This window comes from Homo sapiens, chromosome 3, assembly GCF_000001405.40.
Source record: "Homo sapiens chromosome 3, GRCh38.p14 Primary Assembly".
In the NCBI taxonomy this organism is placed as follows: Eukaryota; Metazoa; Chordata; class Mammalia; order Primates; family Hominidae; genus Homo; species Homo sapiens.
The window spans coordinates 195,086,518-195,110,559 of record NC_000003.12 but is presented as its reverse complement, the minus strand read 5'-3'; the positions used below and the strand labels follow the sequence as shown (position 1 = coordinate 195,110,559).

Sequence of the window (24,042 nt, the reverse complement as noted above, 5' to 3'; positions counted from 1 at the left end):
CACCACACACACACCACACACACGCACACGTACACCACGCACACATACACCACACACCATGCACACATACACCACATACACACACACCTCACCCACACACCACACACACTTTACACCACATACACACGCACACATACACCACAGACGCACTTATACACACATAACACACCACACACACTTATACAGCACACACGCACGCACATACACCACACACCACACACATACACACACCTCACCCTCACCCACACACACATATACCACACACGCACACATACACCCCACACACACCACACACCCACACACACTTCACCCACACACGCACACCACACACTTATACACCACACACGCACACACCACACATACACCTCACCCACACACACACATACTCAGACACCACACACAACACACAGACACCACACACACCACACACACACACACCACACATGCACACATACACCACACACGCACACTCATACACCACACACACCAGACACCACACACACCACACACACGCACACATACACCAGACATGCACACTCATGCCACACACAACCACACACCATGCACACACCCCCACCCACACACATACACACAACACACACACATGCACGCACACTCATATACCACACACACATATACCCCCACACACACCACACACACCCACACCTCACCCACACACATGCACACATACACCACACACACAGGCACACATACACCACACACACGCACACTCATACACCACACACACACTCATACACCACACACACCACACATACACCACACACACACCCAGCCCCACACTCACATACATACCTGAACACATACACCACACACACGCACACTCATACACCACACACACCAGACACCACACACACTCATACAACACACACACCACACACACGCACACATACACCACACACACCACACAGACACCACACACACTCATACAACACACACCACACACACGTGCACTCATATGCCACACAACCACACACACCATGCACACACACACCCCCTACACATGTACACCACACACATGCACACTCATACACCACACACGTACACATACCTCACACACACATGCACACATATACCACATACACGCACACATATACCACACACTCATACACCACCAACACACACACCATACACATGCACACATACATGCACACTTATACACTACACACATGCCACACACAGACACACCATACACGCACACACACGCTGCTGGCTTGGGAGAGCCAGGCCTGGTTATTCCGCCTTCTCGAGAGTGTGCCTCAAGGTGTTCAGCTATAGTGAAGGCGCTGCTGGGCTGTCGGCCTCTGCTGTGGAAGTACCTTGCCTGTGCCCTCCTTCATAAAATGATGCTCCTGTTCAAGAGTGGAGATCTGCAAGCAACGAAGAGAGAGTATCTGGAGGAATGCTGAGCATGAATTTTGGGGGTAGTGGGACTGGGTGATTAACAGTCCTGGCTCTGCCCCTTTCGAGTTCACTTTCCTGAGAATTCACTGCTTTATCAATATATTGGAAATAATAATACCTTTGGGGTTTTCGTGAGAACTAAAGAAAATACAGGTAAAGCTCTGAAGTAGTGCTTACCTCACAAGATAATAGCTGCCTTAATTATTATTTCTAGCCACTGTGTGGGACGTGACGTTACCAGTAGGGTGTTGTAAGGACATCCTTGGATTTACTTTCTAGCTTCATGGAGGGGGAGAGTGAAATTGAGTTATAGTCACATGCTGCGTAACATTTTGGTCAATATATGATGGTGGTCCCGTCCGATTATAATACCATATTATTACTGTACCTTTTCTATGTTTGGATATGTTTAGATAGACAGATACCATTGTGTTACAGGCATCTACAGTATTCAGTATAGTAACATGCCATGCAGGTTTGTAGCCTAGGAGCAGCAGACTGTACCATACAGCCCAGGTGTGTGGTGGGCAATACCATCTAGGTTTGTGGAAGTCACTCTGTGTGTTCACACAAAGACGAAATCACCTAACAATGCATTTCTCAGAGCAAACTCTGTTGTTAAGCGATGCGTGACTGTATATGTGTGTTGTTTTTTCTTTACGATTTGTAAAGTTTTCCAGATTTTTTACTCCAAATGTGTATTTTACAGACAGGAAATCAATTTTCTAAAAAACTAGGAAGATGCTACTAAGTCTCAAATAAAACAAGAGTTAGCAGTTTGATAAGAGTCAAAGGCTCTTGAGAAAGTTCCCAGTTACGCCGCTGGTTCATAGGATTTCTGCATGTTTTTATCAGTATGGTGGTTTGCGTTTCTAATTAATGTTTATGCCTAGCTGGTTGTAACATGCAGTTATGTTTAGTAAAGAAAAACAAGAATGGATGGAAGAATATATGAACATTGCAGGCCAGGCCCAGAACTGGGACTTGCAGCTCAGGTGACCCAGGGTTGCCTCTGCAGGTCACCTAGGTCTCTCTGTAAGATGAAAGGCCAGACCCCCCTATGGGGAGTGGTGGGAGATGCATACAGCTAGAGGGAGGTTTCCAGCCACTTCTCATCTGACACGGTTCAACTGCATGAGAGCCGAATGGCATCAGAGTTGTGTTGGCCAGATAAAATGGGTTGTGTTGTGTGTAGGGACCCTCCTCAGCACTGGCCAGCAGCTGACTGGAAGAAGGGCCCCACTGTGCGGAGGCCTGGGCGGGTGATGCCTCCACGTGGGAGTCTCCATTTTCCTCATTTAAGAAAGGAGGTGGTGTCTCTACCAAGTTGGCCTCATGAGGCCATGAGGATTCCGAACACTGAGGGGCTGGATCCCCGCCAGAAGCGCAGGGAGGACGGGGTCACAGTGCGGAGAATACTGACTGTTCTTGCTAGGTTTGCCCCCCTGGCACTTGTGGCTCTCCTCCCCTTCCTCCTCCCCCTCCTCCTCCTCCTCCTCCTCCCCCTCCTCCTCCCCCTCCTCCTCCCCTTCCTCCTCCCCCTCCTCCTCCCCCTCCTCCTCCCCCTCCTCCTCTCCCCCTCTTCCCCCTCCTCCTCCCCCTCCTCCTCCTTCCTCCTCCTTCTTCTTCTTCCTCCTCCTTTCTTCCTTTTTTTTTTTTTTTTGAGACGGAGTTTTGCTCTTGTTGCCCAGGCTGAAGTGCAGTGGCATGATCTTGGCTTACTGCAAGCTCCACCTCCTGGGTTCAAGCGATTCTCCTCCCTCAGCCTCCTGAGTAGCTGGGATTACAGGTGCCCGCCACCATGCCCGGCTAATTTTTGTATTTTTAGTAGAGGCGAGGTTTCGCCATCTTGGTCAGGCTGGTCTCGAACTCCCGACCTCAGGTGATCCGCCCGCCTCGGCCTCCAAAAGTGCTGGGATTCCAGGCGTGAGCCACCGCACCCGGCCACCTCTCTTCTTTTTGAAGGGCGTCTGGACTCAGCTTTTCGTCTTGCTGAAAATGTGAAGCTGTAAATGAAAGTCGTTCTGGGCAAAACAAAACGAGAGCTCTCCATTCCACCAGGCAAAGGGCAGGTGCCTGTGTGTGTTTGGGATTTATTTTTATTTTCTAATCCCATTGCCAACAGAAAAAGATTCTGTGGAGCCTCTGATTGTATTACCATCCGGGAGCCGTTTATCTGTCGTCTGTGGGATGCTTGGCCCGATGTCCAGGGCTCCAAGTGTCTACTCTCCTCCCCCCGTCACCCCCACCTCTAGGGGGTGTTTTGGAGAATTTGGCCTTGGCCTAGGAGGGTAAGTGCCCAGGGTTCCATTCTGTCTCAGGGTCTTAGGACGGAAGCCAGACAGCTTGATGGTCCTGAGGCAGACAGAGGTGGCAGCTGAAGACAGTGGTGAAAGAAGTGTGGAAGAGGACTTGGCTCCTGATGACCTGATGGGTGGCCAGCCCCCCACCCCAGCTTCTTTGCTGGGGGCGCCCCAGGCCCCTCCCGCTCTGCGGCCCTCCCTGCCGCGGCGTGCCTGCAGTTCCGCGCCTCGCCGGCAGGGGTCTCGCCTGTGTCGCGGCCGGATCTGCACGCGGGTCTAAGAACTCAGGGCCCTCCCACCGCAGCCCCGAATCACCGAGCCCTGGAAGGTTCCAGCGAGCCCGGCGTAGACACCGCCGTGAGGCCCGGGAGAAGGGAAGGGGCAAGTCCAGTGAGAGAGGGTGTGTGCGGGGCCGTGCTGGGGCCAGAACCTTTCAGGGGGTTGGGGGTGAGGGTTAGGTGGGAGTGCGGAGCAAGAGCATCTCTCCATCAAAAACACAACAAGAGCATCTCTCCATCAAAAACACAACAAGAGCATCTCTCCGTCAAAAACACAGCAAGAGCATCTCTCCATCAAAAACGACACAGCACAGCAAGAGCGCCTCTCCGTCGAGAACACTAGTGAATGACAGAATGGCAGTGTATTGAGCTTCCACAAAGAGGTTTTATTGTTTTTTTCAGAGTGATCATATGAAGTAACTTTATTGATTGGTAACTTTATTAATCATAACAAATTGGGCACTTTTGGATAAAGAGACCACGTTTAATTTAAAGTATTCTTTTTCCATAAGAAGCAATACCTATGGTGTTCAAGTCAATAGTTAAATGCTACGCGCCGGTGAAATGCTGCCGACATTAATCAGAAGTAAATAATACAGGAAAGGGGAAGGCTTTAGTCTTACTAAGAAGTGATGATATGAGAGTAAGGGAAGGTGGGGAATAAGAAGTATGCCATGGAATGCTGGTGACAGCTGGAAACGTCACCAGGAAAGGAGAGAGGGAAGCGCAGGGAGGCCAGGAATAATACCATGGTTTCCTCACAGTTTCACCGACGGTGGGAAAATGACCTGGGGGGCTCTGCCATGGTGTAGGTCTGGCTCAGGGATCCCTTGGCCCCCGCTGATAGTTGAAACAGGTCTCCAAATCACTGCTCGGTGGCCCCGTGAGTGGACGCGGAGGCGCAGACTTGGCTGCAGCATTCAGGGATGGACTCTGTTGTTAAACGACAATTTCCTGTTATGTCATTTTCTCCACCATCTGACACACTTTCAACACTCACATACCTTTGAACAGAAGTTTAAATAAAAGTCTGTTGACTTTGCACTTGAGTCCTGCTGTGGACTTCACGTGGCCCTTTGCCTTTGGGCGTAAGTCAGACGAGATGATGATACGGTGTGTAGATATGTCTGTTTCTCTTAAACTTTGGTGAATATCCTGGGGACAGCTGTACTCTCCAGTCACAGGATCAAAGCTTACTGCATCTTCCTGAAGAGTCAGTTTTACTCAAAGATTTAGTAGAGGGAAAATTCGTCTGTTAAAACATATGCTTATATATTATAGAGTTTTAATTTTTCATAAACCATTTAGATAAGACACACTTTGACACACTTGGTTGTGTCCCAGGTCCCCTTGACATTCACCTCTTTCCTATCCATGGGGTCAGCATATTTTGTGGTTTTATCATTCTTGTGATAGTATTTGACCATTATGAACTGGAGGTGTGAAACACTAGTGAGCAGTTGGTTATATGGATGAAATACAAACCAGCCAGTGGTTTCCAAATGCGGCGCAGCCACACCACTATCCCCAGGGCACCTCAAAAGACAGGCTCTCAGGCCTTGTCCCAGGCATCCCAATACTGTTGGTCTCCAAAGCTGCGTTTTGACCATGTACCCAAAGTGATTCTGGCTTGTAGCTAGACTTGCGAATCAAAGAACCAAATGGTTTATTCTAACTGTAGACACTGGGAAAGGGACTGCAAACTGATATTCCACAGACCAGACAGAAGAGGGTTTTTGGTGTGGGGTTTTTTTTGTTTGTTTTTGTTTTTGCCTGTAGCATTTTGTTGTTGTTGTTACTTTGTATTAGTTGCCAACATTTAAAATCAAGGTATTCCGTAGCTTTCCTTTAAAACTCAGAAGTCAGGATGATACTAGGCCTGCCTTTTCTCCAGAACCCCTGGCCTCAGCTGAACAGCAGCAGCCTCTCTCAGGTGGTCGTGCCACGCTGTCTGGATCTCCCGGGTCCCCGCCTCGTCCCCACTGCCTTGCTCTCTGGGAGCTTGAGGTTGTGATCCCCTGCTCAGTGAACACATGGTCGTGTGAGCAGCTGAATCTCACATACCCTTTCCCAGCAGGCAGCATGAGTCCACTGCTGCCCCACCCCCTCCCCGCAAGGGAACTGCTCACCTGGGCACTGCTGCCTGGGAAGTGAAGTATTGTAGAAAGAAGAACTTAAGCTGAGGAATGATTGGGACTCAGAACCATCTCCTCTGCTTGCTACTTCTTGTCTTTGAACCACTTCTTCATACTTCTGTTTCTGTTCCTAGAGCCTCGTTTTCCTCTCATGGCATCTGCCCTCTCATAAAATACACACACACACACACACACACACACACACACACACACACACACACACGGAGCCCTCATCACCGTCATCACCGTCACAGTGGGTGTGTGCTCCCAAAGGGCTTCTACTCATCAGTAGATTTCATGGGCCCGACCTCCCATTTTCCTTTCCCCATTGCTCCCATTCTAAACTGTGGGTCCATCTGTATGTAATGTCTAAAAAGGCGCCCAAACACCAGTTGGAAATAGTTGTTATAGGAAAATGTATTCAGAATTCCAAACAACAGACTTAAAGTGATGAACTTCTAGTGCGTCAAACCTTTCTCCCCTCGTTGGAGAGGCCACAGGGTTAGGCAGGAGCATAGGGACTCTCAGCCTGTGCTGGCCTTTCTCAGTAATCAGAAGCATATGACCCCAGCTAGTATTTTCAGCTAGTTATGCCAGGGACTGTCTTTTATTCCATGAGGTCAAAGGACACACTTGGAATTGGTCACCTGACAAGATTGCATTGTTTCTCTAATTTTTTTTTCCCTAGTTTCTCAGGGCCTGAATTTCATTCCTCTTGCCCAGTGACTTCCCCTTGATGGATTCTAAAGGTCTCACAGAACAGCACCTCTTCTGTCATTTATCTGAGTCTAGGTAAAGGCACAGCGACAGTGAATGTAAGGGCCTTTAAAAGGCTTCAAAAGACAAAGAACATGTTCCTATTTAAAATTAATTTCTCTCTTGTTTTACCTACACTGATTCTTTCTAGGTTCTGAGTGTGTGTGATTTAGGCCCATGCAGCCTCTAACAAATGCAGAAGAGATGGACGCAGGCCGCTGGTGTGGGGTGATGGACGCAGGCCGCTGGCGTGGGGTGATGGACGCAGGCCGCTGGCGTGGGGTGATGGACGCAGGCCGCTGGCGTGGGGTGATGGACGCAGGTCGCTGGCGTGGGGTGATGGACGCAGGTCGCTGGTGTGGGGGTGCATTCCTGCACTCCTGTTTTTCTGTCACAGAACCACCAGTGGCCCAGCATTAACTAAACTAGGCCCAGCCTCATGGCCTGGAATTCCAGTCTGTTATCTGGAGCAAATCAGCATTTCCGTCCAGCGTTCCTAGGCTCCCTTTTATCTGCCCCCCACAGCACTGACTGTTACTAGCGTGAGCCGCCACTTCTCCCCGTTCAGTGCAGGCTGGCAGTACGGGGTTGATTCCTTAGACATATAAAAATCTGGCAAAATCAGAAAACAGTCATTCTCACTTCACACCTGATAGAATAGCCATTGTCAAAAACACAAGAGATAGCCACTGTTGGCGAGGGTGTGGAGAAGAGGGAGCCCCAGCACGCTGCACCGTTGGTAGGAATGTAGGTTGGTACAGCCATGATGGAAAACAATATGGAAATTCCTAAAGAAATAAAACTAGAACTACTATATGACTCAGCAGTCCTTCTTCTGGGCATTGACCCAAAGGAAATGAAATCACTACCTCGTAAAGATAACTGCTCTCCCGTGCTCACGGCAACGTTATTCACAGTAGCCAAGATACGGAAAGAACCTAAATGTCTGTTGATAGATGAATAGAGAAAGAAATTGTAACATACAAGACACACACACACACACACAAAACGGAATATTACTCGGCCTTTAAAAAGAAGGAGTCATACCATTTGCCACAGCGTGGATGAAACTTGGAGGACATTATTGCTAAGTGAAATAAGCCAGACACAGAGAAAAAATATGTCGCATGATCTCACTTATATGTAGAATCTTTTTAAAAAGAGGAAAAGCTGAATACACAGCGGTAGAGAAGAAAATGATGGTTACCGTGGCCACGGCGAGGGTGAGGGAGGAAATGGGGAGATACCAGTCAGGGGATACAGCGTAGCAGACGTGTGGGATGAACGGGTCTAGAGGGTTCATGTGTGACATGAGGGCTATCATCCATAATATCGTATTCATGAATTTTGCGAAAAGAGTTTGTTTTAGGTGCTCTTGCCACACACACAAAGATGAGTAACAATGTGAATTGATGGATATGTTAATTTGCTTGACTATTGTAACCATTTCACTACCTGTGTATTTCAAAATATCATGTTGTATATCTTACATAGAATTCAGAAGACATTCATTCTATTCTGTTGGAAAACATAGACTCAGATATACCAGACAATTCTCTTTTTCCCCCTCCCCTCCCCTCCCTTTCCCTTCCCTTCCTCCTTCCATTCCTCCTCTCCTCCCTTCCTCTTTCTCTCTTCCTTTTTTTCTGTTTCTTTACTTTCTTTCTGTCCTCCCTCCCCGCATCCCTCCCTCCCCCGTCCCCTCCCCTCCCCTCCCTTTCCCTTCCCTTCCTCCTTACATTTCTCCTTTCCTCCTTTCCTCCGTTCCTCTTTGTTTCTTCCTTTTTTTCTGTTTCCTTACTTTCTTTTTCTTTCTTCCCTCCCCTCTCCTCCCCTCCCCTCCCTTCCCCTCTCCCCTTTTTTTTTCAATAGAGATAGGGTCTCGCTACATTTCCCAGGCTGGACATAAAGCCCTGGGCTCCAGCAGTCCTTTTGCCTCAGCCTCCCAGGTAGCTAGGATAACAGGAACACACCACAGCACCCGGCTCAGATGTATTTTTTGCTATATCCCAATTTCATATATTTCATCTTTAAAAGGGGCCAGATGTTATCATTTTCATTCAGGAAATATGTTAATTAGAGCTACATGTATAACTGCCATATTTTATCCAAATCTCACTGAAATATGTAGTATACAAAAGGAATGTCCCTGGGACTTACTAATGTTTTAAAATATTTATGAAAGTGATAGCAGTTGTGTGCATTTCTAGAAAAAGTAATAAATGGGAAGGAAATGGTTTTGCAAAAGAGGATGTGTTTACCCATTTCATCATCATGATGCCCTGAGAGTAAAGATACTAACCAGCCAGAGAGATTCTGTTTTTTCCTAATGTGATTTAAGAGATTTTGATGAAGGTGGCAGTGGGGGTACAGTGTTTAATTAACTAGTACATGTTCTCCTTAATTGCTCCCAATCAATTAAGTCGAACATTCAAGCTGGGGGTACCTGCCCAAGCGCCGTAAGGACGGCATAGCACTGGCAAGAGGCCTGGCGGCTCTGAAGGTGACATATTATGTACTTGTCATAGCCTCACTGTCACGTGCTGGGAGGTGCTTTGTGGATTACAGCAGTGAGGCTGGGGAGCTGCTGGGATTGCGCCAGAAGCCCTTCACAGAGACTGGCAGAGGCCTTGGCTGTGGGCCGCTCTGTGGAACCTATAGCTGTCTTGGAAAAGGCTAGTTATATCCTTGCAGTTGGACAGTGAAAGTATACCTGTCTAGACTAGTTCGCTTCAGTAAATTTGGACTGAGTCCCTGCTTTGTGCCAGGCACAGGGTTAGGCAGCAGGGATATCCGATATAAAAAGACACAGTCTCTGTCCCCAAAGAACTCACAGTTTAATAGGACAGAAAGGGATGTAGGATCAGTATAAACCCCACAACCATAGACATAGTCCAAGGCTTGGGGGCGAGGAGGGAGCTGAACAAAGGACATGGCCTGTGAGCTGGGTTTTCGTGACAAGAAGTTTTCTGGTGGACGAGGAGGGAGAAGGGCACCACAGCCTCAGTGAGGGTAGCGTGTGTAGGCCCAGGAACTTGGGTCTGGGTGGAGTACAGGGGAGAGTGCCGGGGAGAGTGCCAGGGAGAGAGGAGGAGGAGGCTGGCAGGGGTAGAGGCCACATCACCGGGAGCCTTATGTGTTGGGCTAAGGTGACGTTAATTCTATAGGCACTGAGGAGCATGACATTAGCCTGATGCCAGGGCAGAAGACTCTGCAGATGCCTGCCTTCTGGGGGAGGCGCTGTGATGTGTGTGCTAAATGTGTCCCTCCTTGTCCTGGCCAAAGCACACTGTCCGGTGCTCTGGTGGGTAAAACTCCTGCTGTACCTGGCTTCCATGCCATATAGGCCACACTTTCCCAGATAGGACCCCATGCTAGGTGTGGAGGCAGGAGATTCGGAGACCAGTAGGAAACCAGCCCTGTCCATCTGGCCGTCAGACATCCACAGAGGATGAATAAAGGAGGGACAGACATGGCTGGGCCACTCCTTGCCTGTCGCATGAAGCAGGGGGAACGGTGGTGGCGGGGAGATTGGTTTCAGGTGCAGGATCTCAGACAGCTTTATGCAGGGACTGGAAGTTCCAGATTTGCAAATTTGGAAGTTCCAAATTTCCACTACTTTATTCTATAGATATTTATTGTACTTTATTTAGTCTGTCTTCTTTTTTAAGTAAGACAGGGAGAATTTTTCTCTTCTCCCTCCATTTTGTGCCCAGTGAGAAACAGATCCCAATTATTGACTGAAGCTACACTTTAGAAACAACTTTTTCTTAAGAACTTTTACACTGAACAAGATTCAAATATAGTTACTGCATTTTTTTTTTTTTTTTTTTTTGAGACAGAGTCTCGCTGTGTCGCCCAGGCTGGAGTGCAGTGGCGCGATCTCAGCTCACTGCAAGCTCCGCCTCCCAGGTTCACGCCATTCTGCAGCCTCAGCCTCCCCAGTAGCTGGGACTGCAGGTGCCCACCACCACGCCCGGCTAATTTTTTTGTATTTTTAGTAGAGACGGGGTTTCAACGTGTTAACCAGGATGGTCTTGATCTTCTGACCTCGTAATCCACCCGCCTCGGCCTCCCAAAGTGCTGGAATTATAGGCATGAGCCACCGCGCCCAGCCCAGTTACTGCATTTAATTCTTCGTCAGATGGTTCTGTCTTTGCTAACTTGCACAGGGAAAGGGGCTTGTGAACACCTTTATTATGGAGAATGGATTTTACTTTCAGCTGACTTGACTGCGTCCAGGCTGACAGCACAGGCCCCAGATGGTGGTGCTGGTTTGGGAGGCACTGTAATGTGTGTGCTAAATATGTCTCTCTGTGGTCATGATGCCTGGGTGGTGATGGACACAGATCATGGCTGTCCAGCTGCTACCCCACACGTGAGTCCACGCACCTGCGCCAGGGTCAACCTCGTATGTGTGAAGCTGAGCACGTTTATTTATTTCTTAGAGTTTATTATTTTAATCTCTTGGGAAGGGAGAGGGAGAGGAGAAAATAGACCCTCTTCAACAGCAAGCGGTTGTTTGAGAACGCGGTGTCTGTCTGCCATGTCCTCGGTTCCCCTGGTACATTCCACGTTAATTACACCGTACTCTGCTACCACAGTTTTTCCTTTGGTATCCACAGCTTTGGAAAGTAAATACATTGTGATTGTGGAATGGTCTGTGCTTGAAGCAATGAGATGGAAAGGGAGAAGCAGCAGCCCTGCCAAGCCAAGGGGCACATGTCCCAAGTCAACAGGGCCGCTCAGGGCTCGGGCAGAACATGGGACGGAAAGCCCTGAGGCAGCTTGGAGACCCCAGGCTGCAGGCCAGGAGGCCCAGGGAGGGTCCCACCCGTAGGTAGTGTTGGAATGAGGCAGAGAGTGAGTTTTCCAGTCCCTCTGATTGCCATCAAGAGGCACCAGGGCCTTAACTGTCAGAACCCATAGGAAAAAAATCACTTTCTTCTGATGACGGGCTCTGCAGCAGGGGCCAGCGCAGCGAGGAGGGCTCCCGAGACCTTGACAGCATCAAGGCCCGTGGCTTCACCTCCTCTGCCACTGTGAAGAGAGATTATGGTCAAATATATACATAACACAGAATTCGCCATTTTAACCTTTTGTTGTTGTTGTTGAGACAGTCTCTCTCTCTGTCTCCCAGGCTGGAGTGCAGTGGCACGATCTCCGCTCACTGCAAGCTCCGCCTCCCGGGTTCACGCCATTCTCCTGCCTCAGCCTCCCAAGTAGCTGGGACTACAGGCGCGCACCACCACGCCCGGCTAATTTTTTGTATTTTTAGTAGAGACAGGGTTTCAACATGTTAGCCAGGATGGTCTCGATCTTCTGACCTCGTGATCCACCCGCCTCAGCCTCCCAAAGTGCTGGGATTACAGGCGTGAGCCACTGCACCTGGCTCCATTTTAACCGTTTTGAAGTGTACAGTCACTGGCATTAATTCTATTCACAATGTTGTACAACCATCACCACCGTTTCTCGTATATGTGCATCACCCCAAACAGAAACCCTGTACCCATTCAATAATAACTTCCCATTTCCTGCCTCTCCCCAGCTCTAACCTGCCTGTGAGCGTGCCTGTTCTTGGTATTTCCTGTGTGTGGAATCATGCACATTTGTCTCCTCCGCCACTCTCTGCTGCCCCTAGGCCCAGAAGCACACTGTTCCCCTCCCGACCCGCCCCACTGCTGGGACTGTGGGACTCTGTGGGTCCTTCCTTATTCACCACCACAGTACCTTCCATGAGCCTTTCTCGGTTCCCCTCCACCAGTCTCATCTTTTCTTTGTCCAGACATTTGGTTTGAAGCGTCTTTCCTGCCCAGCCTGACTTCTTTGTGTGTGCGTGGTGGGGGGGTGGGGGCATTTGTGTGAGGGTCTTTTCTCCACTCACACTCCCCCGGAGAATCAGAAGCAGTTGTGTGGTCCCAGCGGAGGTGCTCAGGGCTGGGTTTTATCTTGGCGACTGTTCACAGGGTGCTCGCCATGCACTGAGAGGCAGCCGAGGACAGTCTTATCAGTGGGGGCTCCAGGCCAGGCTGCCTGGGTTTAAATCCAGACCTCACCACTTACTAGCTGGGGGGCTTTGACTCAATTCCTTAACCCTTGTAAGCCTCAGTTTCCTTGTCTATAAAGTGGGGATCATGATAATAACAACCTCATAAGTTTATGAAAGCTGAATGAGGTCACAGATATAAACACAACAGTGCTTGCATGTGGTGGCACGTGGTGCTAGCTACGTGTTGATACGCATTTGCTGCTGTTGTAACCCACACGTGGTGCTAGATACGTGTTGATACGCATTTGCCATTGCTGTAACCCGCGTCACAAAGTTTAGTGAGGATGAAATCATTGATATAAATTGTTTAAAAGGTGACTGGCATTTAGTAAATGTCAGCTACAGTATATCTCTCTGTCTGTCTGTCTGTGTATGTATTCTTATGTCAAAACCAACTCAGCACTGAGCCTGCTTCCAAGAACTGTCTCCAACTTAAAGTTGCCAGCAGTCTGGTTGAGGGGACTGGGCCACACCAGCAGCAGATTAAAAATGAACCGGCCTATATGTCTTGTTCCTTTCTTCAAGACAACAGGGACATGGGAAGTCCCAGCAGAGGGACGCCAGGGGAGCCCGTCTGAGGGGTCTGCTGGGCGGGAATCAGAACAGCCTGCCTTTGCCCAGCGCTCAGCGCAGCCTGACCATTTTCACCCCTGTTGTTTTTCTTATTAAATTGGGAAACAAATTATACAAATTTGAACTATTTCTAACCTCCAGCAAAAGGTAGTCACATTCTATCTCAATTTGGAAGACTGAGTGGGCATTACTGTTGACGTGAGTACCTACAGTTTCAGTCAAGATTCTCATTTTTTTAAACCCATGGAAGAAAATTATCCTCTATGGAAACCAAGCTTTACAAAGCTTGTCTCTATGTTCTGATTTTAATTGCCAGTTGAAAGGAAAGCTCAGCCTTGCTTGTTAAATAACTGTGTAAATATTACCAGGGCACTGAGAAGGCCTGAGGAGGAGAAGGAATGGTTTCCTTGCACATCTGTGCCTGAGAAATGAAGACTCAGACTCACTTCTGAAGAAACGAGTTCAACTTCAGATGGGAGGTTGAACTCCATTTTCCCGAAGGCCGAGGAAATGTATGCGTGTGTGTGTGTGTATCGTGTGTGTTTGTCAGCATGTGCGTCTGTTACGTACACGTGTGCGTATGTGCATGTGTATTATGTAAGTGCACATGGGCATGGTCGTGTATATATACGTGTGTGTGTTGGGGACGCACTGGGAACAGAGCATGGTGTCTGCGTCACATGTTGTTTCTCCGCACCTGGAGGCCTCTGAGTGCTGTGTCTGCGCCACTGTCACCAGCCTCCCCGTCTGGCCACACAGATCCTCCTGCTGTGCATGGGCTGCAGCCATGCTAGAGGGACCCTCCAATCTCCCCTAGGTGGCCCCAGGCTTAGCAGGTACTCTATAAAAGTATGTTGAGACAGTGTACTTTTCTGCTTAAGGTCAAAGGGCTTTGCTTTTGTCTGTGTGTGGAGAGCCGTGGCGGCTGGGAGAAGGCTGGGTGGGTGTCCATAAACGCGTGCTAAGGATGGAGCCATCCATCAACCTTATTTCTCCTCTTGCCTTTGCTTAGACCATAGCGTGGACACTGCTATATATTACATATTGAATTGGGTTCCCGGAGCCTCTGGCCTCTCCCCGGAAACAAGTAAGACCTTCTCTGAAGCTGCTTGAGTTCCTGTGGGCTGGAAACAGGGCAGGGAAAGAGAGGTTTGCTAACTGGTTCCTTCCCAGCCAGATGTGGTTAACGTGGCCTCTGAAAGCACCTTACTCATCCCTGTTGAGCTGCTGACCTGCAGCTCCACATGTACCCACTCTGATTCACTGAGACTCACTCCCCCTCCAGTGAAGGCTGCCCCACCCGCAGATCAGGGGACCGCACGTGTTAGGGCCTTACCTAGGGTTCCCTGGCCACTGCCGCCTGCAGGCCCTCGCTTTGTTGTGGCTCTTCCCAAGAGTCATCAGGCGCTGTTGCTCACGCATAAGCACACAGGTGACAAAGTCCCCTGAAGAATTGCCCACCAGTGTGACCTGAACGACCCCTTTCCCCAACACCACACATGAGCACTCAAACTGGATGTGGAGGCCCGGCTGTAAGAGTGCCCATCTGCAAGGCTCAGCTCTAGGAGCTGTCCCCCTGCCTTCCCTGACCATATGGGGCACAGGTTCTGTGCTGGCCCCAGTCCCAGATGGTGGAAGGCAAGGAAGGAGAACCCACATCACCCACCTGCCGTGCACCGGGGGGTTCGCGTATGACTTTGTTTAATGCCCTGGCAGAGTCTTCTGAGGCATTACACTCACCACCGCCACAGGGAGAAGACTGGAGCAAGAGGAAGAGAATTTGCATTTGCGAGTGCACGCTGCGTTCCCGCGACAGCCAGACACTGCATTACCTCATGCAGCCCTCACGGCAGTCTCATGAGATGTAATGCTTAGTTCTGGTGGAGCTGGGGCCAGAACACACTTTCCCTGACTCAGAGTCCTCACTCTTACCTCCACCTTCTCACTACTCAAAAGTGTGGCCTGCAGACCAGTAGCGTTGGTATCACCTGGGGGCTTGTCAGCGATGCGGAATCCCAGTCTGCATTTTAACCAGATCCCGGACACACATTTCCCCCGCACAGTAAGGTCTGGGAAGCACTGCCCTGCATCTAGTAACTCTTATGTGAGAGAACCCTGGGAGGGGAGGTGGAGGCCAGTGGGGTTAGCTGAGAAAACCTTCTGGAGGGCCAGTGGCAGAGCTGAGCCACAGAACAGGTGCGTGGTGGAGCAGAGGCAGCATTTGCTAATCAGAATGGCATCTGCGATGCCTTCGCAGGCTGTGTGGAGAGGGGAAGGTGCGGCCTTGTGGCCCCTTGTCTGTGTGGAAGGGCAGGCGACTCTGTGGGGGAAGGGTGGCGTGGAGACGGGAAGCGTGATTACCCACACAGGCCTCGAGCACCCGCATCCAGGGACCACGGCCGCCAGGAGGGGCTGGACTCTCTCAGGAGAAGCGTGCGTCTGGGAATCCCCGCTGAGGGGGCTTGTGAATGTGGGATCGAAGCGCTTAGATCTTGGCTTCCGGAGGTCTCCGCGGGTGTCCAGCTTTGTACAGGGTGTGGGGATGAGTCTGCCGACCGGACTCCCATGTCAGCTTTGTGTCTGGACAGAACAAGGGGCGAGGAAGCCTGGTCGGGCCACTCTGGGCCTGCATGCGTGTGGGCAGGTGTCTGTTGGTCTTGGGCAAAGGGCGAGGTGACACTGAGGGCGTGAGGGAGGAGGCCCCAAGAGAGCAGGGAAGCGTGGAAGATGCCAGCTGGCCTGGGGGCGTGGATGTGGGTTTCAGCAGAGTGCAGACAGGCAGTGGGGCGTGGGGCCTCCTTGGGGCCTCGCTGGGCTGTGTCGGGTGCTTGCTTTCTTTTCTCCTTTGCCTCCTTCCAAGGTGCGTCCACAGCCAGCGTTTCTTTATGCTTTTCCCTCAGTCTGAGACCTAGGAACAGGAGAGGCCAGTGCTGTGAATTTCATGTTTCATGGCCTCCCCAGCAAGCCAGCCCACGAAATTCCACACAGGGAGGAGGAAGAGGAGGAGGAGGAGGAGGAGCTGCCACTGTCCCCGAGGGGAGCAGCTGACACTCTCCCCTTGACTGCACCAGGCCTTGGGGGTATGGCGCCTCCACGGACGTGGGCTGGGGGAGGATAGGCTCCTAATTAGTTTGGATGCGCTTGGAGTCAGGGCACCTTTTCCCCAGTGGGCAGTTCTGCACCCTGAACAGCTGTGGGGAGAAGGGCAGCGGGAGGACGGCCAGATAATTCCAGAAGAAAGGCTCCAGGAGTGGCAGCAGAACTGCTGTTATTTTCGGAGGAGTCTAATTACTTTCCCCAGGTAATGGCTTGAAGTAGCATCTAATTTTATTTATTTATTTATTTATTTATTTTTATTTTTTTATTATACTTTAAGTTCTAGGGTACATGTGCACATTGTGCAGGTTAGTTACATATGTATACATGTGCCATGCTGGTGCGCTGCACCCACTAACTCGTCATCTAGCATTAGGTATATCCCCCAATGCTATCCCTCCCCCCTCCCACCACCCCACAACAGTCCCCAGAGTGTGATATTCCCCTTCCTGTGTCCATGTGATCTCACTGTTCAATTCCCACCTATGAGTGAGAATATGCGGTGTTTGGTTTTTTGTACTTGCGATAGTTTACTGAGAATGATGATTTCCAATTTCATCCATGTCCCTACAAAGGACAGTAACTCATCATTTTTTATGGCTGCATAGTATTCCATGGTGTATATGTGCCACATTTTCTTAATCCAGTCTATCATTGTTGGACATTTGGGTTGGTTCCAAGTCTTTGCTATTGTGAATAATGCCACAATAAACATACGTGTGCATGTGTCTTTATAGCAGCATGATTTATAGTCCTTTGGGTATATACCCAGTAATGGGATGGCTGGGTCAAATGGTATTTCCAGTTCTAGATCCCTGAGGAATCGCCACACTGACTTCCACAATGGTTGAACTAGTTTACAGTCCCACCAACAGTGTAAAAGTGTTCCTATTTCTCCACATCCTCTCCAGCACCTGTTGTTTCCTGACTTTTTAATGATTGCCATTCTAACTGGTGTGAGATGGTATCTCACTGTGGTTTTGATTTGCATTTCTCTGATGGCCAGTGATGATGAGCATTTTTTCATGTGGTTTTTGGCTGCATAAATGTCTTCTTTTGAGAAGTATCTGTTCATGTCCTTCGCCCACTTTTTGATGGGGTTGTTTGTTTTTTTCTTGTAAATTTGTTTGAGTTCATTGTAGATTCTGGATATTAGCCCTCTGTCGGATGAGTTGGTTGCGAAAATTTTCTCCCATTCTGTAGGTTGCCTGTTCACTCTGATGGTAGTTTCTTTTGCTGTGCAGAAGCTCTTTAGTTTAATTAGATCCCATTTGTCAATTTTGTCTTTTGTTGCCATTGCTTTTGGTGTTTTAGACATGAAGTCCTTGCCCATGCCTATGTCCTGAATGGTAATGCCTAGGTTTTCTTCTAGGGTTTTTATGGTTTTAGGTCTAACGTTTAAGTCTTTAATCCATCTTGAATTGATTTTTGTATAAGGTGTAAGGAAGGGATCCAGTTTCAGCTTTCTACATATGGCTAGCCAGTTTTCCCAGCACCATTTATTAAATAGGGAATCCGTTCCCCATTACTTGTTTTTGTCAGGTTTGTCAAAGATCAGATAGTTGTAGACATGCGGCGTTATTTCTGAGGGCTCTGTTCTGTTCCGTTGGCCTATATCTCTGTTTTGGTACCAGTACCATGCTGTTTTGGTTACTGTAGCCTTGTAATATAGTTTGAAGTCAGGTAGTGTGATGCCTCCAGCTTTGTTCTTTTGGCTTAGGATTGACTTGGCGATGCGGGCTCTTTTTTGGTTCCAGATGAACTTTAAAGTAGTTTTTTCCAATTCTGTGAAGAAAGTCATTGGTAGCTTGATGGGGATGGCATTGAATCTGTAAATTACCTTGGGCAGTATGGCCATTTTCACGATATTGATTCTTCCTACCCATGAGCATGGCATGTTCTTCCATTTGTTTGTATCCTCTTTTATTTCCTTGAGCAGAGGTTTGTAGTTCTCCTTGAAGAGGTCCTTCACATCCCTTGTAAGTTGGATTCCTAGGTATTTTATTCTCTTTGAAGCAATTGTGAATGGGAGTTCACTCATGATTTGGCTCTCTGTTTGTCTGTTGTTGGTGTATAAGAATGCTTGTGATTTTTGTACATTGATTTTGTATCCTGAGACTTTGCTGAAGTTGCTTATCAGCTTAAGGAGATTTTGGGCTGAGACAATGGGGTTTTCTAGATATACAATCATGTCGTCTGCAAACAGGGACAATTTGACTTCCTCTTTTCCTAATTGAATACCCTTTATTTCCTTCTCCTGCCTAATTGCCCTGGCCAGAACTTCCAACACTATGTTGAATAGGAGTGGTGAGAGAGGGCATCCCTGTCTTGTGCCAGTTTTCAAAGGGAATGCTTCCAGTTTTTGCCCATTCAGTATGATATTGGCTGTGGGTTTGTCATAGATAGCTCTTATTATTTTGAAATACATCCCATCAATACCTAATTTATTGAGAGTTTTTAGCATGAAGGGTTGTTGAATTTTGTCAAAGGCTTTTTCTGCATCTATTGAGATAATCATGTGGTTTTTGTCTTTGGCTCTGTTTACCTGCTGGATTACATTTATTGATTTGCGTATATTGAACCAGCCTTGCATCCCAGGGATGAAGCCCACTTGATCATGGTGAATAAGCTTTTTGATGTGCTGCTGGATTCGTTTTGCCAGTATTTTATTGAGGATTTTTGCATCAATGTTCATCAAGGATATTGGTCTAAAATTCTCTTTTTTTGTTGTGTCTCTGCCTGGCTTTGGTATCAGAATGATGCTGGCCTCATAAAATGAGTTAGGGAGGATTCCCTCTTTTTCTATTGATTGAAATAGTTTCAGAAGGAATGGTACCAGTTCCTCCTTGTACCTCTGGTAGAATTCGGCTGTGAATCCATCTGGTGCTGGACTCTTTTTGATTGGTAAGCTATTGATTATTGCCACAATTTCAGCTCCTGTTATTGGTCTATTCAGAGATTCAACTTCTTCCTGGTTTAGTCTTGGGAGAGTGTATACGTCGAGGAATTTATCCATTTCTTCTAGGTTTTCTAGTTTATTTGTGTAGAGGTGTTTGTAGTATTCTCTGATGGTAGTTTGTATTTCTGTGAGATCGGTGGTGATATCCCCTTTATCATTTTTTATTGCGTCTATTTGATTCTTCTCTCTTTTTTTCTTTATTAGTCTTGCTAGTGGTCTATCAATTTTGTTGATCCTTTCAAAAAACCAGCTCCTGGATTCATTAATTTTTTGAAGGGTTTTTTGTGTCTCTATTTCCTTCAGTTCTGCTCTGATTTTAGTTATTTCTTGCCTTCTGCTAGCTTTTGAATGTGTTTGCTCTTGCTTTTCTAGTTCTTTTAATTGTGATGTTAGGGTGTCAATTTTGGATCTTTCCTGCTTTCTCTTGTGGCATTTAGTGCTATAAATGTCCCTCTACACACTGCTTTGAATGCGTCCCAGAGATTCTGGTATGTTGTGTCTTTGTTCTTGTTGGTTTCAAAGAACATCTTTATTTCTGCCTTCATTTCGTTATGTACCCAGTAGTCATTCAGGAGCAGGTTGTTCAGTTTCCGTGTAGTTGAGTGGTTTTGAGTGAGATTCTTAATCCTGAGTTCTAGTTTGATTGCACTGTGGTCTGAGAGATAGTTTGTTATAATTTCTGTTCTTTTACATTTGCTGAGGAGAGCTTTACTTCCAAGTATGTGGTCAATTTTGGAGTAGGTGTGGTGTGGTGCTGAAAAAAATGTATATTCTGTTGATTTGGGGTGGAGAGTTCTGTAGATGTCTATTAGGTCCGCTTGGTGCAGAGCTGAGTTCAATTCCTGGGTATCCTTGTTGACTTTCTGTCTCCTTGATCTGTCTAATGTTGACAGTGGGGTGTTAAAGTCTCCCATTATTAATGTGTGGGAGTCTAAGTCTCTTTGTAGGTCACTCAGGACTTGCTTTATGAATCTTGGTGCTCCTGTATTGGGTGCATATATATTTAGGATAGTTAGCTCTTCTTGTTGAATTGATCCCTTTACCATTATGTAATGGCCTTCTTTGTCTCTTTTTATCTTTGTTGCTTTAAAGTCTGTTTCATCAGAGACTAGGATTGCAACCCCTGCCTTTTTTTGTTTTCCATTGGCTTGGTAGATCTTCCTCCATCCTTTTATTTTGAGCCTATGTGTGTCTCTGCATGTGAGATGGGTTTCCTGAATACAGCACACTGATGGGTCTTGACTCTTTATCCAATTTGCCAGTCTGTGTCTTTTAATTGGAGCATTTAGTCCATTTACATTTAAAGTTAATATTGTTATGTGTGAATTTGATCCTGTCATTATGATGCTAGCTGGTTATTGTGCTCGTTAGTTGATGCAGTTTCTTCCTAGTCTCGATGGTCTTTACATTTTGGCATGATTTTGCAGCGGCTGGTACCGGTTGTTCCCTTCCATGTTTAGCGCTTCCTTCAGGAGCTCTTTTAGGGCAGGCCTGGTGGTGACAAAATCTCTCAGCATTTGTTTGTCTGTAAAGTATTTTATTTCTCCTTCACTTATGAAGCTTAGTTTGGCTGGATATGAAATTCTGCGTTGAAAATCCTTTTCTTTAAGAATGTTGAATATTGGCCCCCACTCTCTTCTGGCTTGTAGGGTTTCTGCCGAGAGATCCACTGTTAGTCTGATGGGCTTCCCTTTGTGGGTAACCCGACCTTTCTCTCTGGCTGCCCTTAACATTTTTTCCTTCATTTCAACTTTGGTAAATCTGACAATTATGTGTCTTGGAGTTGCTCTTCTCGAGGAGTATCTTTGTGGCGTTCTCTGTATTTCCTGAATCTGAACGTTGGCCTGCCTTGCTAGATTGGGGAAGTTCTCCTGGATAATATCCTGCAGAGTGTTTTCCAACTTGGTTCCATTCTCCCCATCACTTTCAGGTACACCAATCAGACGTAGATTTGGTCTTTTCACATAGTCCCATATTTCCTGGAGGCTTTGCTCATTTCTTTTTATTGTTTTTTCTCTAAACTTCCCTTCTTGCTTCATTTCATTCATTTCATCTTCCATTGCTGATACCCTTTCTTCCAGTTGATTGCATCGGCTCCTGAGGCTTCTGCATTCTTCACGTAGTTCTCGAGCCTTGGTTTTCAGCTCCATCAGCTCCTTTAAGCACTTCTCTGTATTGGTTATTCTAGTTATATATTCTTCTAAATTTTTTTCAAAGTTTTCAACTTCTTTGCCTTTGGTTTGAATGTCCTCCCGTAGCTCAGAGTAATTTGATCGTCTGAAGCCTTCTTCTCTCAGCTCGTCAAAGTCATTCTCCATCCAGCTTTGTTCTGTTGCTGGTGAGGAACTGCGTTCCTTTGGAGGAGGAGAGGTGCTCTGCTTTTTAGAGTTTCCAGTTTTTCTGTTCTGTTTTTTCCCCATCTTTGTGGTTTTATCTACTTTTGGTCTTTGATGATGGTGATGTACAGATGGGTTTTTGGTGTGGATGTCCTTTCTGTTTGTTAGTTTTCCTTCTAACAGACAGGACCCTCAGCTGCAGGTCTGTTGGAGTACCCGGCCCTGTGAGGTGCCCCGCTGGGGGGTGCCTCCCAGTTAGGCTGCTCGGGGGTCAGGGGTCAGGGACCCACTTGAGGAGGCAGTCTGCCCGTTCTCAGATCTCCAGCTGCGTGCTGGGAGAACCACTGCTCTCTTCAAAGCTGTCAGACAGGGACCTTTAAGTCTGCAGAGGTTACTGCTGTCTTTTTGTTTGTCTGTGCCCTGCCCCCAGAGGTGGAGCCTACAGAGGCAGGCAGGCCTCCTTGAGCTGTGGTGGGCTCCACCCAGTTCGAGCTTCCCGGCTGCTTTGTTTACCTAATCAAGCCTGGGCAATGGCGGGCGCCCCTCCCCCAGCCTCGCTGCCACCTTGCAGTTTGATCTCAGACCGCTGTGCTGGCAATCAGCGAGACTCCGTGGGGTAGGACCCTCCGAGCCAGGTGCGGGATGTAATCTCGTGGTGCGCCGTTTTTTAAGCCCGTTGGAAAAGCGCAGTATTCAGGTGGGAGTGACCCGATTTTCCAGGTGCGTCTGTCACCCCTTTCTTTGACTCCCTTTGAAAGGGAACTCCCTGACCCCTTGCGCTTCCCAAGTGAGGCTTTGCCTCGCCCTGCTTCGGCTCGCGCACGGTGCGCGCACCCACTGACCTGCGCCCACTGTCTGGCACTCCCTAGTGAGATGAACCCGGTACCTCAGATGGAAATGCAGAAATCACCGTCTTCTGCGTCGCTCACGCTGGGAGCTGTACACCAGAGCTGTTCCTATTCGGCCATCTTGGCTCCTCCAGTAGCATCTAATTTTAATGCCCGCTTTGATCTGGCTGTTAAAAATTCCACTCTTTATGTTCATTCAAATTCCAGTTGGCTGTTCTGGGTAAGCCCAGGCCCCAGTGCCCTATCCGGAGAGAGCTGAGAAGTTGCAGGCCCTGCGTGCAGGGAGCCTGACTGCCTTGTCTCTGTGCTCTACCAGCTCCAGGCATACCTGTGTTGATACCTGAATAGAGCGCGCAGTGGGGAGAGACAGGGAGGGTAGCTCAGATGCTTTTCTGCTTTCACAGGGAGCACCCCAAGCACAGCAGATTTTCAAGAGATTTATCTGGAAGGCCTGGAGAAGCAACTCAAGCACAAGGGATCTGAGGAGGAGCCAGGGAGCACATTTCCAGTTTAAAGGGGAAAAATGTCTCCCTGGAGAGTGGGTACAAACGGGAAGAGGGCGGAAGAGGAGCTCCAGGGCCACACGCAGCCTGGCAAGGGCAAGGCCGGCTGTGTCCAGAGGAGCAGGAAAGGCGGGTTTGCTGCAGGCCACCTGGAGAGACGGTGGCGTGTCAACGGGCCACACGGGCAGTGCCTCCCAGCCCCCTTACTGCTCCCCGCAGCCTGCCCTGAGTTTAGAGAAGCTGCACCGAGGCAGGAGGAGGTGACCACAGTGCTGCCACCAAGGCGACCTGGAGCTGGGAAGGCCTAGGAGGCCACTCTCCCTCCTTGTGGTACAGGTGGGAGGTATCGGGGAGGGGCCTGGCCAGTGTCATCATGCAAGTCACTGATCATGATTAGAACAGCCACTGCCACTGACCCCATAGCCAGAATGCTCAAGACAGAAGCCAGGACCCGGAGCTCTTTGTCCCCCTTCATCACCTACATGCATCCGTTCTTAGAGCTAGTCATACACCTGCTAAGTATCTCCTAAACCCTTTGCTTGTCTCCATCCTTGGCACTGCCACCCTCCCCCCCATCACCAAAGCATCCTCCTGCCTGGTCTTGCTGCTTCCAGCCCTTCCTCCTCCATGCCAGTGCCCACCCAGCCAGAGTGACCTTCCTCATACCTCGCTTCAAACCTTTTGTTCCCTTTAGCAGCAAGGTCAGCTTCCCTGACCTTCCTCACAGGGCCCATCCTAAACTGGCCCTGGCTCATAGTCAGGCCTCTGACCCCACAGCCCCTGC

The 24,042-nt window shown here is 48.5% G+C and overlaps 1 protein-coding gene and 2 long non-coding RNA genes across 7 annotated transcripts in view, besides 6 other annotated features; 2 read left to right on the top strand and 1 right to left on the bottom strand.

Annotated features, from left to right (window-relative positions):
* The window catches only part of XXYLT1 (xyloside xylosyltransferase 1), a 202,876-nt gene that overhangs the window by 160,600 nt on the left and 18,234 nt on the right, over positions 1-24,042 (top strand). The gene's annotated exons all lie outside the window — the stretch shown is intronic.
* Positions 3,960-4,129: a silencer, noted in NCBI's record as "silent region_15030". NCBI's record gives its function as "represses an Ori minimal core promoter by ATAC-STARR-seq in GM12878 lymphoblastoid cells {active_cell/tissue: GM12878}" and the evidence as "EXISTENCE:reporter gene assay evidence [ECO:0000049][PMID:35858748]".
* LOC124909476 (uncharacterized) lies at positions 4,017-7,708 on the top strand. The gene is made up of 2 exons (XR_007096226.1): positions 4,017-6,930; positions 7,046-7,708. It is a non-coding gene; the product is annotated as an uncharacterized LOC124909476 (long non-coding RNA).
* Positions 6,723-7,922: an enhancer, noted in NCBI's record as "BRD4-independent group 4 enhancer chr3:194823367-194824566 (GRCh37/hg19 assembly coordinates)". NCBI's record gives its function as "activates an origin of replication core promoter dependent on BRD2, P300/CBP, MED14 and CDK7 cofactors, and independent of BRD4, by STARR-seq in HCT116 cells {active_cell/tissue: HCT116}" and the evidence as "EXISTENCE:reporter gene assay evidence [ECO:0000049][PMID:35650434]".
* Positions 14,388-15,587: an enhancer, noted in NCBI's record as "CDK7 strongly-dependent group 2 enhancer chr3:194815702-194816901 (GRCh37/hg19 assembly coordinates)". NCBI's record gives its function as "activates an origin of replication core promoter dependent on BRD2, BRD4, P300/CBP, MED14 and CDK7 cofactors, with strong dependence on CDK7, by STARR-seq in HCT116 cells {active_cell/tissue: HCT116}" and the evidence as "EXISTENCE:reporter gene assay evidence [ECO:0000049][PMID:35650434]".
* XXYLT1-AS1 (XXYLT1 antisense RNA 1) lies at positions 14,503-15,972 on the bottom strand. The gene is made up of 4 exons (NR_104188.1): positions 15,882-15,972; positions 15,183-15,275; positions 14,853-14,961; positions 14,503-14,640 (listed from the first exon to the last, which is right to left on the bottom strand). It is a non-coding gene; the product is annotated as an XXYLT1 antisense RNA 1 (long non-coding RNA).
* Positions 16,052-16,101: an enhancer, noted in NCBI's record as "active region_21040". NCBI's record gives its function as "activates an Ori minimal core promoter by ATAC-STARR-seq in GM12878 lymphoblastoid cells {active_cell/tissue: GM12878}" and the evidence as "EXISTENCE:reporter gene assay evidence [ECO:0000049][PMID:35858748]".
* Positions 16,172-16,341: an enhancer, noted in NCBI's record as "active region_21039". NCBI's record gives its function as "activates an Ori minimal core promoter by ATAC-STARR-seq in GM12878 lymphoblastoid cells {active_cell/tissue: GM12878}" and the evidence as "EXISTENCE:reporter gene assay evidence [ECO:0000049][PMID:35858748]".
* Positions 16,462-16,531: an enhancer, noted in NCBI's record as "active region_21038". NCBI's record gives its function as "activates an Ori minimal core promoter by ATAC-STARR-seq in GM12878 lymphoblastoid cells {active_cell/tissue: GM12878}" and the evidence as "EXISTENCE:reporter gene assay evidence [ECO:0000049][PMID:35858748]".